The 17763-nt window shown below is 41.9% G+C and overlaps 1 protein-coding gene across 1 annotated transcript in view, besides 2 other annotated features; it reads right to left on the reverse strand.

The window, feature by feature from the left end:
* The window catches only part of ZNF367 (zinc finger protein 367), a 32430-nt gene that overhangs the window by 2572 nt on the left and 12095 nt on the right, over positions 1-17763 (reverse strand). The window contains exons 2-4 of the mRNA NM_153695.4: positions 9652-9802; positions 6311-6430; positions 3886-4024 (exon numbers count right to left, since the gene is read on the reverse strand). Coding sequence (NP_710162.1) covers positions 3886-4024; positions 6311-6430; positions 9652-9802 — 410 coding nt within the window. The remainder of the gene's footprint in view (positions 1-3885; positions 4025-6310; positions 6431-9651; positions 9803-17763) is intronic.
* Positions 151-320: an enhancer, noted in NCBI's record as "experimental_110866 CRE fragment used in MPRA reporter constructs". NCBI's record gives its function as "activates a minimal promoter by MPRAs in K562 erythroleukemia cells, with activity observed for the introgressed 9:99151030 variant allele {active_cell/tissue: K562}" and the evidence as "EXISTENCE:reporter gene assay evidence [ECO:0000049][PMID:34662402]".
* Positions 3735-4029: a silencer, noted in NCBI's record as "tiled region #10311; K562 Repressive non-DNase unmatched - State 17:Gen3'". NCBI's record gives its function as "represses a minimal TATA promoter and a strong SV40 promoter by Sharpr-MPRA in K562 cells {active_cell/tissue: K562}" and the evidence as "EXISTENCE:reporter gene assay evidence [ECO:0000049][PMID:27701403]".

The following is a 17763-nucleotide window of genomic DNA, read 5'->3' on the forward strand; positions in this document are numbered from 1 at the left end:
TTTACTTTTCTTTTAAAAAGTTCCATACCACAATATTACTTTTATGTGGTTCAGTTTATAAAGTTATAAAGTGATTTAACATAAATTTCCTATTTATAGAGGAAAGAAACTGAAGTTCAACGAGGTTAAGAGACGTGCTCAGGTTTCCACAATAAACCTGGCAGTTCTAGATCTTCTACTCACTCTCAAATCACGTTTTTGCCATTAAACTATCACCGCCTTAAAGAGCCTGTGTGAAATGGACTTGAGTAAAATACAGAAATAGTAGAAAAAACAGTCTTTAGAAACTTATTTATCCTATCTACAGAGGGATGGTAACTTCTGACAGCGTTAACGCTGTAAATATTAAACCCACAAACTATGAAAAAGTGATTAACATCTGTGACACAGAGTTTATTCAAAAACTTAAAAACACTACCCTTATTCTGTTACATGGCCAACTGATAATTTACAAGAGAAAATGCAAATGCTCAACTCTTTGGTAACTAAAGAAATGAGTATTTAGGCTGGGCGCAGTGGCTCACGCCTGTAATCCTAGCACTTTGGGAGGCAAGGCAGGCAGATCACTTGAGGTCAAGAGTTCAAAACCAGCCTGGCTAACATGGTGAAAACCCCTCTGTACTAAAAATACAAAAAAATTTGCCGGGCATGGTGGCAGGCACCTGTAATCCCAGCTACTCCAGAGGCTGAGGCAGGAGAATGACTTGAACCTGGGAGGCGGAGGTTGCAGCAAGCTGAAGTCGGGCCGCTGCACTCCATCCAGGGTGACAGAGCGAGACTCCGTTTCAAGAAAAAAAAAAAAAAGAAAAATGCATTTTAAATGACAGTAACAGATCATACAAAACTGTCCATACAAAGCCTTGTATATTAATGTTCATAGTAGCTTTATATGTAATAGCCAAAAATAACCCAAATGCCCATCGAGAGAATAAACAAACTACATTTGTATAAAACTACTATTTTATAGTGACAGCAGATCAGTGTTGTATGGGGGGAAGGGGGACAGGGAGGAATGTGTAGTTCAGTTCACAAAGGGGGCACGAAGAAACTTGGAAATGATGGATATGTTCACCATCTTGATTGTGGAGATGGTGTCACAGTATATACATGTCAAAAATGTATCAAATTGTATACTTTAAAATGTATTAAACTGTACACTTTAAATGTATCATAATTTCTTATATGCTACTTATATACCAACAAAGCTGTTTTTATTTATTTTTATTTTATTTTTCGAGACAGAGTCTCACTTTGTCACCCAGGCTGGAGGGCAGTGGCACAATCTTGGCTCACTGCAACCTTCGCCTCCTGGGTTCAAACTATTCTCGTGCCTCAGCCTCCTGAGTAGCTGGAATTATAGGCGCCCACCACCATGCCTGGCTAATTTTTTTTTTTTTTTTTTTTTTTTTGGAGACAGAGTTTCACTCTTCTTGCCCAGGCTAGAGTGTAATGACGGGATTTTACCATGTTGACCAGGCTGGTCTTGATCTCCCGACCTCAGGTGATCTGCCTGCCTAGGCCTCCCAAAGTGCTGGGATTACAGGCGTGAGGCACCGCACCAGGCCTGTATTTTTAGTAGAGATAGGGTCCTGCCATTTAGCCAGGCTGATCTTGAACTCCTGACCTCAGGTGATCCACCCACCTCAGCCAAAGTGTTGGGATTACAGGCGTGAGCCACCGCACCCAGCCCCAACAAAGCTGTTTTTAAAATTACATACCAAAAAAAAAAAGAAATACAACTACCAAATTTCAGGAAATCCAGACTACTTAAAGTGGAAAAGTTTTGGCAATGCCCACAGAGGTCTAAAAAAAGAAAGTGCAAATTGTTCAGTATGACTTGAAGGATGACTAGAAGAGGAGAATGGCAAAAGATAAGTTCAGCAAGTCAGCAGGAACCAGGTAAGGAAGGACTTTGAATTCCATAATAAAGGGTTTAGGCTTTAGACTGAGGATCATACTGACATTTTAGAAAGATCCCTCTGGCAGCAGCATGGAAAATGGATTGAGAGCATTCAAGTGGCTGAATTTGAGTTAGTAAGGAGGTAGATGTCATAACTTGGTCACTGAGTAGACAGCAGAAAGACAAGGAGGCGAGGTGCGGTGGCTCATGCCTGTAATCCCAACAGTTTGGGAGGCCAAGGTGCGAGAATCACTTGAGGCCAGGAGTTTGAGACCAGCGTGGGCAACGTGACAAGACCCAGTCTCTACAAAAAACTTAAAAATTAGCTGGGCATGGTGGCACACACCTGTGGTCCCAGCTACTCAGGGGGCTGAAGTGGGAGGATCACTTGAGCCCAGGAGGTCAAGGCTCAATGAGCTAATAATCCTGCTACTACAGTCCAGTCTTGACAACAGAGTAAGACCCTGTCTCGAAAAAAAAAAAAAAAAAAAAAAAGACAAGGATGACCAGTAAGCTTCTGGCTGGGACACAATTAGAAATAATGGGGCAGTAGGAGCTAACCAGGAGAAAGAGGAGGGGAGGAAGTGATGGAGATATTTAGTTTAAGGTACCCCTAGAATTGTCCATCTAAACAATTTCTATGACAGTGCTAACAAATTTCCCTGGACGTGAATAATCAAATAGTATTTCCAGATTCCATTATATAATTCTTATGTATTTTTATCCAAACAAAACAGAGTTTATTCCTTCAAATATTTATCAAGGCCCAGAAGCTCTGCTAGGCCCTAGGCTTACCATAATAAACAAGACAAATATCCCTGCCCGGGGAAGCTTTCAGTCTGGCAGGGAAGGTATAAAATAAACAAATAAATGTGTGATGGATGTTTTGAAAAGGAAAATGAAAGCATCTGTTAAGTTGGTCCCAGCCCGTTTGTTGCTGAGCAGGTCAGGGAGGCCTTCCTGAGTAAGAGATGAAGGTGAGCAAGAGGCTTAGCCAAGTGGGGAGTGAGTGCTCCAGGCAGAGGAAGCAGGGTGCACACAGGCCCTCATACAAAGGCACCTGTGTTGAGAAACCCACAGCCCAGCATGGCAGGGGACAGTTGCCTTATCAGAGGGAGGCAGGGCTATGGCAGCACAGCTAGGAATCCTGGACTTTACCCTAAGCAGCCAGTGAAGCCTGGGTGAGGCCTGAGCAGCTGCTGCTGGCTCGTGTACAGCAGACAGGCCCTTCAACCGAAATATCCTTAGAGAAATTCTTTTATACTGGCCCCCTTGTTGCCATTGGAAAAAATTAAATTGGTGTTTTTGGAACCTCACCTAAGAAGAACCACTAACATCTATCCCTGGTGTTTTTTTGTTTTGTTTTGCTTTGTTTTGAGACAGGGTCTCACTCTGTCACCCAGGCTGGAGTACAAGAGTGCAGTGGGGCCATCTTGGCTCACTGCAACCTCCGTCTCCCAGGCTCAAGCGATTCTTCTGCCTCAATCTCCCGAATAACTGGGATTATAGGCACGTGCCACTACTGCCCAGGTAATTTTTGTATTTTTAGTAAAGATGGGGTTTCACTAAGTTGACCAGACTGTTCTCAAACTCCTGACCTCAGGCGATCCACCCACCTCGGCTGTCTATCCCTGTTTTAATTGGCACGTAGCTAAGGCTAACATAAAGAAAATGAAAAAGGTTGCATTCATGACGAATGAAATACAATACATATAAAACATTTTTTCAAAATAGGAAAACTCTTCCTTTTAAAATAAACTGTAGTCTGGGCACTCTAATTATATTGTAATTTTCTATCACACACAGATCCTAAGATCCTAATACCACTCACAACAATTTTATAGAAAATCAGGGGTCATTTCTAATTATGTTATAAAATGTGTATAAATGCAGCTTATTTAAAATGAGAGGCATGTCCAGGTCCCTGACATAGCCCCAGCCCGCGCTGTGCATCTTCACGGTGGACTAAAGGCAGCATTCCTGACCTCGCCAGCCACTCGGCCGCGGCCTTGTTGTCGGCAGCCTGATGTTTGCTGAGTGTGTCCGTGGGCTCCTCTCTCTTCAGCCTGGCGTAGGGGTGCTTCGGACAGTGGCGGTTTGCATGGGTGAATCTGCTCAGGCAGCCTTCAAAACACAAGGTTAACACCTGTCAGGATCTGGACATCCAGCACATAGACATGTGGAAAACATTCAGTTTCACTGGTATCCAGAAAAGTAAATTAATATGGTGAAATTTAGGATCTATAATTTGGAGGAGAAAACAATCAAACCAGCACAGTCTCATCAGTGCTAGAGCGGGGACAGGAAGACAGTCACATTTTGGTCGTGGCCATGTGTGTCCAACACCATTGGAAAGTGATTTATTAGCATGAGTTCAAAATGTTCAAAATGGCAGGGCGTGGTGGCTCACGCCTGTAATCCCAGCACTTTGGGAGGCCGAGGCAGGCGAATCACTTGAGATCAGGAGCTAGAGACCAACCTGGCCAACACGGCAAAATGCCATCTCTACTAAAAATACGAAAATTAGCCGGGTGTGGTGGTCTCTGCCTGTAATCCCAGCTACTCAGGAGGCTGAGACAGGAGAATAGCTTGAACCCAGGAGGCAGAGGTTGCCGTGAGCCGAGATCACGCCATTGCACTCCAGCCTGGCGACAGAGCCAGACTCCATCGCAGGGGTCGGGTGGAGTTCAAAACCTCAGACCCGAGAATTCCATTTGTGGATTCCAACATAAGGAAGCATCCCAAAAGATGAACAAAGCTACACGTGTGAAAACATTCCCCTCAGCTTTGTTGGTAACAAGAACATTTAAAAAACAAATTAAATATTCAGACCAGGTGCAGTGGCTCATGCCTGTAATCCCAACACTTTGGGAGGCCGAGGCGGGTGGATCACCTGAGGTCAGCAGTTCAAAACCAGCCTGGCCAACATGGTCCCCCATCTCTACTAAAAATACAAAAATTAGCCGGACATGGTGGCACAAGCCTGTAATTCCAGCTACTCCAGAGGCTGAGGCAGGAGAATTGCTTGAACTCAGGAGGCGAAGGTTTCAGTGAGCCAAGATCGTGCCACTGTACTCCAGCCTGGGCGAAAAGTGAGACTCCATCTCAAAACAATAAAAAATAAATAAATAAATAAATGCTGGGCGCAGTGGCTCACGCCTGTAATCCCAGCACTTTGGGAGGCCAAGGTGGACGAATCACCTGAGATTGGGAGTTCAAGACCAGCCTGACCAACATGGAGAAACCCCATCTCTACTAAAAATACAAAATTAACTGGGTATGGTCGCGTATGCCTGTAATCCCAGCTACTCGGGAGGCTGAGGCAGGAGAATCGCTTGAACCCAGGAGGCGGAGGTTGCGGTGAGCTGAGATGGCGCCATTGCACTCCAGCCTGGGCAACAAGAGCAAAACTCCGTCTCAAAAAATAAATAAACAAATATTCATTATTCAACATAGAGGAAACCATTGCATATAGGCTTAAGCAAACTTGCTGGATGAAAACTTTGCAGACTTTTGCAACATTTGTAATAATCAAGAAAATTACAGAGCAACAGGACAGATTGCACGGAACTTCAAATATACTGTAACTGCATAAAAATGTGCATCTTTAGAAACTGATAAAAGATTAAGAAAATCACTTAGGATAATATGCTTACTTCACTTTAATAATTAAAAAGTTTAAAATGTTGCTCCAAAGGCTGTATTTACTTTTACAGATTTTTCTACTGCCTACAACTGGATATAGTATCTTTAATTGCCCTTTAAGGTTTCATCAAAAAGGATTACTTTATTTAAAAATCAATTATTTCTTAAGCCAGGCACAGAAAGACAAACATCACTTGTTCTCACTTATTTGTGGGATCTAAATATCAAAACAATTGAACTCGTGGAGATAGACAGTAGAACAATGGTGCCCAGAGGCTAGGAAGGGGAACTGGGGGATGAGGGGCAGGTAAGGATGGTTAATAGGTACCAAAAATAGAAAGAATGAATAAGACCTAGTATTTTATAGCACACGGTGACTATAGTCAATAATAATTTAACTGTACATTCTAAAATAAGTTAAGAGTATAACGGGATTATTTGTAACACAAAGGACCCATGCTTGAGAGGATGGATAGCCCATTTACCATGTGATTATTATGCATTGCATGTCTGTATCAAGTATCTCATGTACCCTGTAAATATGTATACGTACTGTGTACCCACAAAAATCAAAACCAACAAATTTTTAAAATCAATCATTTCTGAGAAATTCAGCATGTATCACAATTATCAAAGAAGAAAGCTTATAAAGTTTTATAAAATTTATATTAAAAAATCTTTCCCCTCAAAAAAATTCAAGGAAAGGATATTTTAACTGTTAAGTCACAACTAGTTATTCCATAAACTTAACTTCTAACACCGTACCATTTTCTGAACAAACAAAAGGTTTCTCTCCGGTGTGAAGACGCTGATGTGTTTTGAGCTGTCCACTTTGAACAAAGGCTTTTCCACAGTCTGGATAGTCACACAGATAGGGCCTCTCACCTAAGTAGACAGATGTTAGATATTATATCTGAGATAATAAGGCCAGAAGAGGAGGGGGATGGGGAGAGAATCAGCCTTTATATAGGTCATGACTCCCAATAACAATAAAACATGTCATGGCCCCTACTGAGCTGCAGGTGGAAATGCTAATGGCAGCACTTGGGTGGCATCAATGACTATCTGCTGGGGAACACAATCTATTCTTTAGGCCTTGAGGTTATCATCTTGAGCTTATCCCATATTTTTTCTCCCTCATACTCCAAATCACTAGATCTTGCTGATTCTTCACTATGTCTTCCACCCACTCCTGCCTTCCCACTCAGCTTCCCCTGGTCAGACGGGCAGCCCTCCCACTAGGATGAACCCTCCGACAGCCTCCTGGCCGGCCTCTTGTTTCTCCCCCTGCACAGCAATCCCAGAGTAGCTGGCATAGAAATCTGCTTTTGTCATACCAACTAGCTCCTGAACCACCCCCAAATCCTATTACACACCTTGGACAACTAAAAATTATCTGCTGACTTAAATGGTCCTCTAAGATCGGCACTCTAGGCAATCTCACCAACCTCATTAGCTACTGGGGTTAAGGGGCAGAGTTTATCCTTACTTCCCTCCTGGAGAATCATTCCAGCCAGGAGGCAGTTCCTCATCTTGTTCTAATCCTTGAAAATCCTATTTTCTCTGCCCATTCAAATCTTCCCAATCCTGTAGGCTCTCAGTGAGATTCTTCCTATCTCCCCAAATAACTGAATTCTTCCTATCTACCTCCAAATAATTGAACTTTGTATACCTTCATTAACCTGGGGTCCTGTGTTGTTTATGTGTCATGGTAGTCTCCTGCAAAGATTCCTAGTACCTTATACTTCACTTAAATTCCTATAGACAACACAGTGCCAGGCTCAAGTGCTGAAAAATTTGTTAATGATAATTAAACATTATTTATTGAAAAAAACATTATTTAATCAACAATTGTACATTAGTTTGCATTTTCCAGTATAACTCAAAGAATAACAAGTCCTCCCTAAATTTCTCATTATTTAGAGACATAATAAATGGTTGTGATAGTTGAATACAAGTTAAAATAAAACACAGATATAGGGGGATTGTTTAAAATAGTAAGGGAAAAGCTTTTTACAAAATATGCTAATAGGGCTCAACTATCCCTTAGGGATCCTCCTTTCAGTTCCTTGATGTACAGACATCTAGGCTGATGCCTGGGGTATCAGGTGACACAGTGAGGTAGTGGTGATCAGGACGGCACTCAGCCCTTTCTTCATTCTGCCACATAGTCTTGAATCTTACCCACACTGGCAACTCTACGGCCTACAAACCAGTTATCCAGGGGATATTTTAGAATATTTAGATTGAAAAAAATATATAAAAATTCTCAAAATTAGAATGTTTCATTAAGTAATCATTTTACTAATGGTATCCAAAGTCAAAACTTCTAGACACCTTAGTTTATAATGATTTAAAATTCAAACATTACCCCTTTCCAGGGATTTAACTTAAAAAAAACCTCTATTCTATCATATCATTTAAATATATATTTTCAAAAACCACAAGTTAAAAAAAAGTGAGAAACAGGTGAGCACCATAAACATGGTGGAAAAAAATAGGGGACTGAGGGTTACAGGCTTAAGTTCTAAACCAGTACTGCCCAATGAAAGACAATATGAACCACTTCTAGAAGGCACATTAGAAAAAGTAAAGAGAAAGAGGTGAAATAAATTTTTTTTTTTTTTTGAGATTGAGTTTTGTTCTTGTTGCCCAGGCTGGAGTGCAATGTCACATCTTGGCTCACCGCAACCTCCACCTCCCGGGTTCAAGTGATTCTCCTGCCTCAGTTTCCCGAGTAACTGAGATTACAGGAATGTGCCACCACACCTGGCTAATTTTGTATTTTTAGTAGAGATGGGGTCTCTCCATGTTGGCCAGGCTGGTCTTGAACTCCTGACCTCAGGTGATCCACCCACCTCGGCCTCTCAAAGTGCTGGGATTACAGGCGTCAGCCACCGCACCCAGCCATGAAATTAATTTTAATAATGTATTTTATTTAATCCAATTTATCTAAAAGTGTCATTTCAATACATAATCAACAGTAAAAATTATTGTTTACTCTTTTTTTCATATTAAGTATGTTTTATATTACTGCCCATCTCAATTTAGACTACCCACATTTCAAGTGCTCAGGAGTCACAGTGGCTACTGTATGGGGCAGTGTAGCTCTAGCTTTAAAGGTATGAGAGACTGATTGTAAGCCGGTAGTAGTTGGATTTTTGGCACTTCAGTTTCCTCACCTGTAAACTATTAGATGAACTATAAGGTTCCTTCCTTTGGGGCCAACTTTATAGCGAGAACAAGGGCCCTCTATACTTTTTTTTTTTGGCTCTCTAAATGATATTTAAAATGCAAATATAATTTCCATATGCAAATAAAGATGTACCATAATCTTGAGATGGCTGCCTACCATAGTTCACCACAGATTTAATGCTTAGGTCAAATGTCCTGATAGCACAGTGAGGACTCTAAACATTCTATTAAAAACTTGACAATTAATGTTTTTGGCCTACAGATGAATTTTAACAATTACATAGATAAAAGTATATCAAGTACAATTTGGGCAAGTAGGGGGTAAAACTAAATTTGCCAATAACATGACTATGACATCTAGGTTAATTACCATGATAACTTTAGAAATCACATGTAACCAGTATTCATAAAACCACCACTCTCCACCAAAAAGAAACTGACTATACTGCCTTTTTAAAAAACTTCACAACTAATAGTGGTAATAAGAAAATATAAAGCAACTAAAAAGTTAATTTATTACTCAATATCAAATCAGCATTCAGTTAAGTGTTACTTCTGGCCAGGCGCGGTGGCTCACGCCTGTAATCCCAGCACTTTGGGAGGCCGAGGCAGGCGGATCACAAGGTCAGGAGTTCGAGACCAGCCTGACCAACATGGTGAAACCCCATCTCTACTAAAAATACAAAAATTAGCTGGGCGTGGTGGCACACACCTGTAATCCCAGCTACTCAGGAGGCTGAGGCAAGAGAATTGCTTGAACCCAGGAGGCGGAGCTTGCAGTAAGCCAAGATCGCGCCACTGCACTCCAGCCTGGGCAACAGAGCGAGACTATCTCAAAAAAAAAAAAAAAAAAAAAAAAAAAAAAAAAAAGTGTTACTTCTGGCAGTCTCTATAAAATTTGCTCAACTTACCTGTATGAGTCCTTTTGTGAGCCTGGAGCGATTTCTCCCGTGGAAACACCCTATTACAGATGTTACAACGGATTCTGCTGGATGAATGCTCTCCTTCATTTATTAAATCGCGGACAGTATCTGCTCTGGGCCTACCACGTCGGATTCCATCCTGTTGATAATTTTTATAAACATTAATATAATTTATTTAACGCTACTCATTAAAGCAACGTATCATAATATAACTTTCAAAAATCTTTCTTGGGAGCTGGGCGCAGCGGCACACACTTATAGTCCCAGCTATTTAGGAGGCTGAGGTAGGAGGATCACTTGAGGCCAGGAGTTCGAAGCAACATAGCACAAAACATTTTTGTTTTGTCTCTAAAAACAAAGCAAAAGCCTTTCTTAAGGGACATCAGTAAAAATGGTGAGGCAGGTAACTCCAATGGCCCATCCCTCCACAGATGACTAAAAAATCAAGCAAAAACTGTCAGATCAGCTTTGTCACAACTCCAGAAAATACATTTATAGCAACTCAGCAAACTGAATAAAAAAGCAACTTGAAACAGTAGAAAAGCTTTGCAGCATTTTGACTTGCCCTCTCTCTTTCCCTTCCCCAGTGGCAGTCTTGAAGACAGCAGCCTGCATTCTCAGTCTGGGAACCTACTCCTTTAGTCCCTGCTTCCAGAGGAAGAAATTCTGAAAGAATTGCGTTTGCCTGTTTTGAGCCTGCGGGTTACCTAAAGGACTGACACAAGACATTGGTCTTTGCTTTCCCTAACTTGGAACAGGGCAGAGAGGTGTCTCTTCAGAGGGTATTGCTCAAAAAACTTGTAAGGCAAATAATCTGCAGCCACCTGGGGCAAAAGATTTCAGTTGAAGCAAACAGACACACCAACAGCCTGAGAGGAAAAGCTGGGAGAAAGTTTCTTTTGGAAATTTGGGCATTCAACAATGTCCACTTATACTAAGGTTAGGAATTTAGAAAGTCATGCATATATGCCCAGGGCAGGAAGCATGCTCAGAAAAGATCTGAAAAGACCCTTTAGCTGAACTTTCGGCTCAGCACAAGCAGGAAATGAGGCTACAGTAGAGTTGTAAACAGCAGGGCTAAGCAACCACAGTGTCCCCCAACACAGCCATTCTGCAAAGACTGGGAGAAGGTGGTTGTCCTCCTTTCTGTCTACTCTTTTTTGGGGGATGGTGGAGGGAAGCTCTAGGTATTCAAAAAAGTCTGTCAAAACACTAGTGGTGGCTCAGCCTATAATCCCAGTGACTCAGGTGGGAGGATCACTTGAGCAAAGGAGTTCAAGGCTACAGTGAGTTATGATGCCCCTGCACTGTAGCCTGAGTGACAGAGTGAGACCCCATCTCTAAAAAACAAAAAACAAAGTGTCGGGCGTGGTAGCTTACGCCTATAATCCCAGCACTTTGAGAGGCTGAGGCCAGTGGATCACCTGAGGTCAGGAGTTCAAGACCAGCCTGGCCAACATGGCGAAACCCCATCTCTACTAAAAATACAAAAATTAGCCAGGCATAGTGGCACACACCACTAGTCCCAGCTACTCAGGAGGCTGACGCAGGAGAATTGCTTGAACCCGAGAGGTGGAGGTTGCAGTGAGCTGAGATCGCGCCACTGCATCCTGGCCTGGGTGACAGAGCAAGACTCCATCTCAAAAAAACAAAAAACAAACAAACAAAGCATCAGCTGAACACAGGCTAAGAAAGAGACTTTAGAGAACAAACACAACAAAGAACACAGAATTTAGAAAGAGTTTAGAACACTCACTAAACAACTACAACTCATAGCAAACAACAAAAACTCAGAAGGAAGGGTCTGATTTCCGGAGTCACATTATAATATTCAAAACCTCCAGTTTTCAACAAAATGTTACAAAGCATGTGAAGAAATAAAAACAGTATGGTACATACACAGGAGAAATTAACACAAAGAGTCTGAGAAGAAGAACAGACACTGGACTTACTAGACAAAGATTTTAAATCAACTGTCTTAAATGTGTTCAGTGAGCTAATGGAAATGATGGACAAAGAACAAGAAGCCTGGGTAACATAGCAAGACCCCCTTTCTAAAAGGAATAAAAATAAATTAGCCAGGCATGGTGGCACTTCTCCCAAGCTACTTGGGAGGCTGAGGTGGGAGAATTACTTGACCCTGCAAGGTCAAGGCTGCAGTGAGCCATGATTACACCACTGCTCTCCAGCCTGGGCAATAGAGCAAGACCCTGTCTCAAAAAAAAAAAAAAAAAAAAGGAAAAGAAAAAGGAAAAAGAATGACAAGAAACCAGGAGAACAATGTCTCAACAAACAGAAAACCAACAAAGAGACAGAAATTATAAAAAAGAATCAAATAGATATCCTGGAGCTGAAACATACAATAACTAAAACAAACAAAAAAAAAACTTCACTAGAGGATTTCAGTGGCAGATTTGAACTGATAGAACAATCAGCCAACTTGAAGATAGGTCAGTTGAATTTATCCAGTCTGAAGAACAGAAAGAAAAAAGAAGGAAGGGAAATCAACAGAGTCTAAGATGCCTATGGAACACCATCAAGCATACCAACATACATATAACTGGAGTCATAGAGGCAAGAGAGGAAAGGGAAAGAATATTTGAAGAAATAATGACAGAAAACTTCCCAAATTTGATATGACACAAATCTAAACATCCAAGAAGCTCAATACACTTCAAGAAAAATAAAGGGATCCACACCAAGACATTTTGTAATCAAACTGTCAAATGACAAAAAGAATCTTGAAAGCAGCAAGAAAGTAGTGACTTGGATAAGCACCATGGCTCAAGCCTATAATCCCAACACTTTGGGAGGCCAAGGCAGGAGGATCACTTGAATCCAGGAGTTTGAGACCAGCCTGGGAAACGTAAGGAGACCTCATGTCTACAAATAATTTAAAAATTATCCAAGTGTGGGGGTACACGCCTGTGGTCCCAGCTACTCAGGAGGCTGAGGAAGGAGGATCAGCTGAGCCTGGGAGGTCAAGGCTGCAATGAGCCATGATCGCGCCACTGGACTTCAGCCTGGGGACAAAACAAGACCAGGCCTCAAAAGGAAAAGAAAGTGGTTCATCATGTAAAAGGGGTCCTCGATAAGATTAACAGCTGATTGGGAGGCCAGGGTGGGCAGATCACAATGTCAGGAGCTCGAGACCGGCCTGACCAACATGGCGAAACCCTGCCTCTACTAAAACTACAAAAATTAGGCCGGGCACGTGGCTCAAGCCTGTAATCCCAGCACTTTGGGAAGCCGAGGCGGGCAGATCACCTGAGGTCAAGAGTTCGAGACCAGCCTCAACATGGAGAAACCCTGTCTCTACTAAAAATACAAAATTAGCCGGGCATGGTGGTGCATGCCTGTAATCCCAGCTACTCGGGAGGCTGAGGCAGGAGAATTACTTGAACCTGGGAGGCAGAGGTTGCGGTGAGCCAAGATCGCACCATTGCACTCCAGCCTGGGCAACAAGAGCGAAGCTCCGTCTCAAAAAAAAAAAAAAAAAAAAATTAGCCAGGTGTAGTGGCGCACACTTGTAATCCCAGCTACTCAGGAGGCTGAGGCAGGAGAATCGCTTGAACCTGGGAGATGGAGTTTGCAGTAAGCCAAGATTGCGCCCCTGCACTCCAGCCTGGCAGACAGTGTGAGATGCCATCTCCAAAAAAAAAAAAATTTTTAAATTAGCAAGGTGCAGTGGTGTGTGCCTATAGTCCCAGCTACTCAGGAGGCTGAGGCAGGAGGATCACTTGAGCCCAGGAGTTCAAGGCTATAGTGAGCTATGATCACACCACTGCACTCCAGCCTGGGCAACAGAGCAAGACCCTATCTCTTAAATTTCAGCACTTTGGGAGGCTGAGGTGGGCAGGTCATGAGGTCAAGAGATCAAGACCAACCTGGCCAACATGGTGAAACCCTGACTCTACTAAAAATACAAAAATTAGCTGGGCATGGTGGCACGCGCCTATAGTCCCAGCTACTCAGGAGGCTGAGGCAGGAGAATCACTTGAACCCAGAAGGCGGAGGTTGCAGTGAGCCGAGTTCGCACCACTGCACTCCAGCCTGGCAACGGAGCTAGACTCCATCTCCAAAAAAAAGAAAGAAAGAAACAAAAGAAAAGAAGAAAGAACTGTGAAAGGACAGAAAAACTTATAACTTTTAGAAATATATATACACCTAAGAACAGAGCCTCCTGCAAAAGGTGACAGAATTAAAAGGAGAAATAGTTCAAAAACAGCTGGAGTCTTCGATACCCTACTTCCTTTACTTCTTTCTTTCTTTTTTTTTTTTTTTTTTTTTTTTTGAGACAGGTTCTCACTCTTGTTGCCCAGGCTGGAGTGCAGTGATGCAGTCTCAGCTCACTGCAACCTCCACCTCCCAGGTTCAAGCGATTCTCCTGCCTCAGCCTCCCGAGTAGCTGGGATTACAAGTGCCCACCACCACGCCTGGCTAATTTTTTTTTTTTTTTTTTTTTTTTTTGTATTTTTAGTAGAGACGGTTTCACCTTGTTGGCCAGGCTGGTCTTGAACTCCTGGCCTCAAGTGATCCGCCCACCTCGGCCTCCCGGAGTGTTGGGATTACAGGCGTGAGCCCCTGTGCCCAGTTAATACCCTACTTTCAATAATGAATAAGACAACTAGGCAGAAGATCCACAAAGATATTCTCCAACATAGACCATACGTTAGACCACAAAAAAGTCTCACTAAATTTTAAAAGACTGAAAGCATTCCAAGTATCTTCTCTGACCTCATGGAATGAAACTTTACAGAAGGAAAACAGGAACAAATATATAGAAATTAAACAACACACTTTTTTTTTTTTGAGACGGAGTCTTGCTCTGTTGCCCAGGCCCGAGTGCAGTGGCATGATCTCAGCTCATTGCAACCTCCACCTCCCAGGTTCCAGCAATTCTCCTGCCTCAGCCTCCTGAGCAGCTGGGACTATAGGTGTGTGCCACCATACCCAGATAATTTTTGTATTTTTAGTAGAGACATGGTTTCACCATATTGACCAGGCTGGTCTTGAACTCCTGACCTCGTGATCCACCCGCCTTGGCCTCCCAAAGTGCTGGAATTACAAGCATGAGCCCCCGTGCCCAGCCCAACACACTCTTAAATAGCCGATGGGTCAAAGAAGAAATCACAAGGGAAAAAAGAAAATACCTTGACACAAATAATACCAAAAACACAACATACCAAACTTATAGGATACAATTCAAGAATTAGATGACTTAAAATTGATAAGATAGCAATGCTATCCAAAGCAATCTTACAGCCACAATGCAATCTCTATTAAAATTCCAGGGGTTTTTTTTCTTTTTTTTTCTTGCAGAAATGGAAAAGGCTATCCTCAAGTTCATATGGAATTATAGGAGGCTCCAAATAGCCAAAATAATCTTGAAAAAGAGAACAAAACAGGAGGACTCACACTTCCCAATTTCAAAACTTACTACTAAGCACTGGCAATTAAGACAGTGTGGTAATGGCATAAGGAAAGACATATAGACCAATGAAATAAAATTTAGAGTACAGAACCTAACCTATACATGAAAGGCCAATTGATTTTCAACAAGGGACCCAAGAACATTCAACAGAGAAAGAATAGTCTCTTTAACAAATGGTTCTGGGATAACTGGATTTCCATATACAAAAGGATAAAGTTAGACCCCTACCTTACACTATATACAAAAACTAACTCAAAATGTACCACAGAGCTAAATATAAGAACGAAAACTATAGAGCTCTTAGCTGGACACGGTAGCCCATGCCTGTAATCCCAGCACTTTGGGAGGCCAAGGTGGGTGGATTGTTTCAGCCCAAAAATTCGAGATCAGCCTGGGCAACCTGGTGAAATCTCATTTCTACCAAAAATACAAAAAGTTAGCAGAGCAGGGTGGCACATGCCTGGAGTCCCAGCTACTCAGGAGGCAGAGGTTGCAGTGAGCCAAGATCATGCCACTGCATTCCAGCCTGGGCAACAGAGTGAGACCCTGTCTCAAAAAAACAAAAACAAGGCCGGGCGCGGTGGCTCACGCCTGTAATCCCAGCACTTTGGGAGGCCGAGGCGGGCGGATCACGAGGTCAGGAGATCAAGACCATCCTGGCTAACACGATGAAACCCCGTCTCTACTAAAAGTACAAAAACTTGGCCAGGCGCAGTGGCTCACGCCTATAATCCCAGCACTTTGAGAGGCTGAGGCGAGTGGATTACGAGGTCAAGAGATCGAGACCATCCTGGCTAACATGGTGAAACCCCGTCTCTACTAAAAATAAAAAAATTAGCCGGGCGCGGTGGCGGGCACCTGTAGTCCCAGCTACTCGGGAGGCTGAGGCAGGAGAATGGCGTGAACCCGAGAGGCAGAGCTTGCAGTGAGCCGAGATCACGCCACTGCACTCCAGCCTGGGCAACAGAGTGAGCCAAGATCACGCCACTGCACTCCAGCCTGGGCAACAAAGCGAGCCTCCGTCTCCAAAAAAAAAAAAGACTGTAATGCTCTTAAAATAAAAACAGGGATGACTCTTCTTGACTTTGTATTTTTTTAATGGATTCTTAGATATGGCACCAAGAGCTAAGCAACAAAAGAATAAATTGGACTGAATCAAAATGTAAAACTTTTGTACATCACAGGACATTACAAAGAAAACGAAAGGCCATCCTACAGAATGGGAGATATTTATTTGCAAACCATACATCTGATAAGGGCCTAGTATCAAGGATATAAAAAGACCTCTTAGAACTCAACAACAACAAAAAACACAAAAAACTCAATTAAAAAATAGGCAAATGACTTGAACAGACATTTCTCCAAAGCAGTTATATGGCCAACAAATGCAGTTATATGGCCAGCAAATACATAAAAAGATGCTGAAAATCAGCCACATGCAGTGTATCACGCCTGTAATCCCAGCACTTTGGGAGGCCAAGGTGGGTGGATCACCTGAGGTCAGGAGTTCAAGACCAGCCTGGCCAACATGGTGAAACCCCGTTTCTACTAAAAATACAAAAATTAGTCAGGCATGATGGCGAGTGCCTGTAATCCCAGCTACTCAGGAAGCTGAGGCAGGAGAATCGCTTGAACCCGGAGGTTGCAGTGAGCCGAGATCACACCACTGCACTCCAGCCTGGCCAACTAAGCAAAACTCTGTCTCAAAAAAAAAAAAAAAAAAAAAAATCCTCAAAATTATTCATCATTTAGGAAAATGCTAATTGAAACCACAATGAGATACTGCTTTGCACCAACGAGGTTATACTATACTGGGAGAAAAAAAGGAAAATAAGTAGGAAATAGTTTTTTTATTAAAAATGTAGAGAAATTGGAACCATCATATACTACTGATGAGAATGTAAAATGGCTCAGCCACTGTGGAAAAGTTTGATAGTTTTGTATCGATATCATATATATATACATATACATACACAATGGAATATGTATACATATATAATGAAATTATTCAGCCATGAAAATAATATATGCTACAAAGTGGATGAACCTAAAAAACAGTATGCTAAAAAAAGAAGCCAAACACAAAAGGCGACATATTATGTGACTTCATTTAATGAAATATCCAGAATAGGTAAATCCATAGAGACAGAAAGTAGGTTGTTGGTTTCCAAGGTCTGCATGTAGTAGGGAACAGGGAATCGTGGTCTAACAGATCAAGTTTTCTTTAGAGGTGATAAAAATGTTTTGGAACTCTTAGAACATTATGAATGTACTAAATGTCACTAGATTGTACACTTTAAAATGACTAATTTAATGTTATGTAATTTTACATTGATTAAAAACCTAAGGAAATCTGAATATGCTATGGGATTCAGTTAATACTAGTGCATCAACATTGGTTCATTAATTTTTAACAAATGTACCACATTAGTGTAAGATGTTAACAGGGAAGCTGGGTGTGCAGTTTATGGGAACTCTCTGTACTACCTTCACAGCTTTTCTATACAGCTAAAACTAATATAAAATAAACATTTACTTGAAAGAAACTTTGTTTCCCAGTTAAGTGAACTTTCACACATACAAGTTACATGAAAAAAAATCATAAAAGGATCATATACAACTACTTCTAAAATGAAGATGCTTTTAGGGCTTTCAATATCAAAACT

The sequence above is a fragment of the Homo sapiens genome, chromosome 9 (assembly GCF_000001405.40).
Source record: "Homo sapiens chromosome 9, GRCh38.p14 Primary Assembly".
Lineage (NCBI taxonomy): Eukaryota > Metazoa > Chordata > Mammalia > Primates > Hominidae > Homo > Homo sapiens.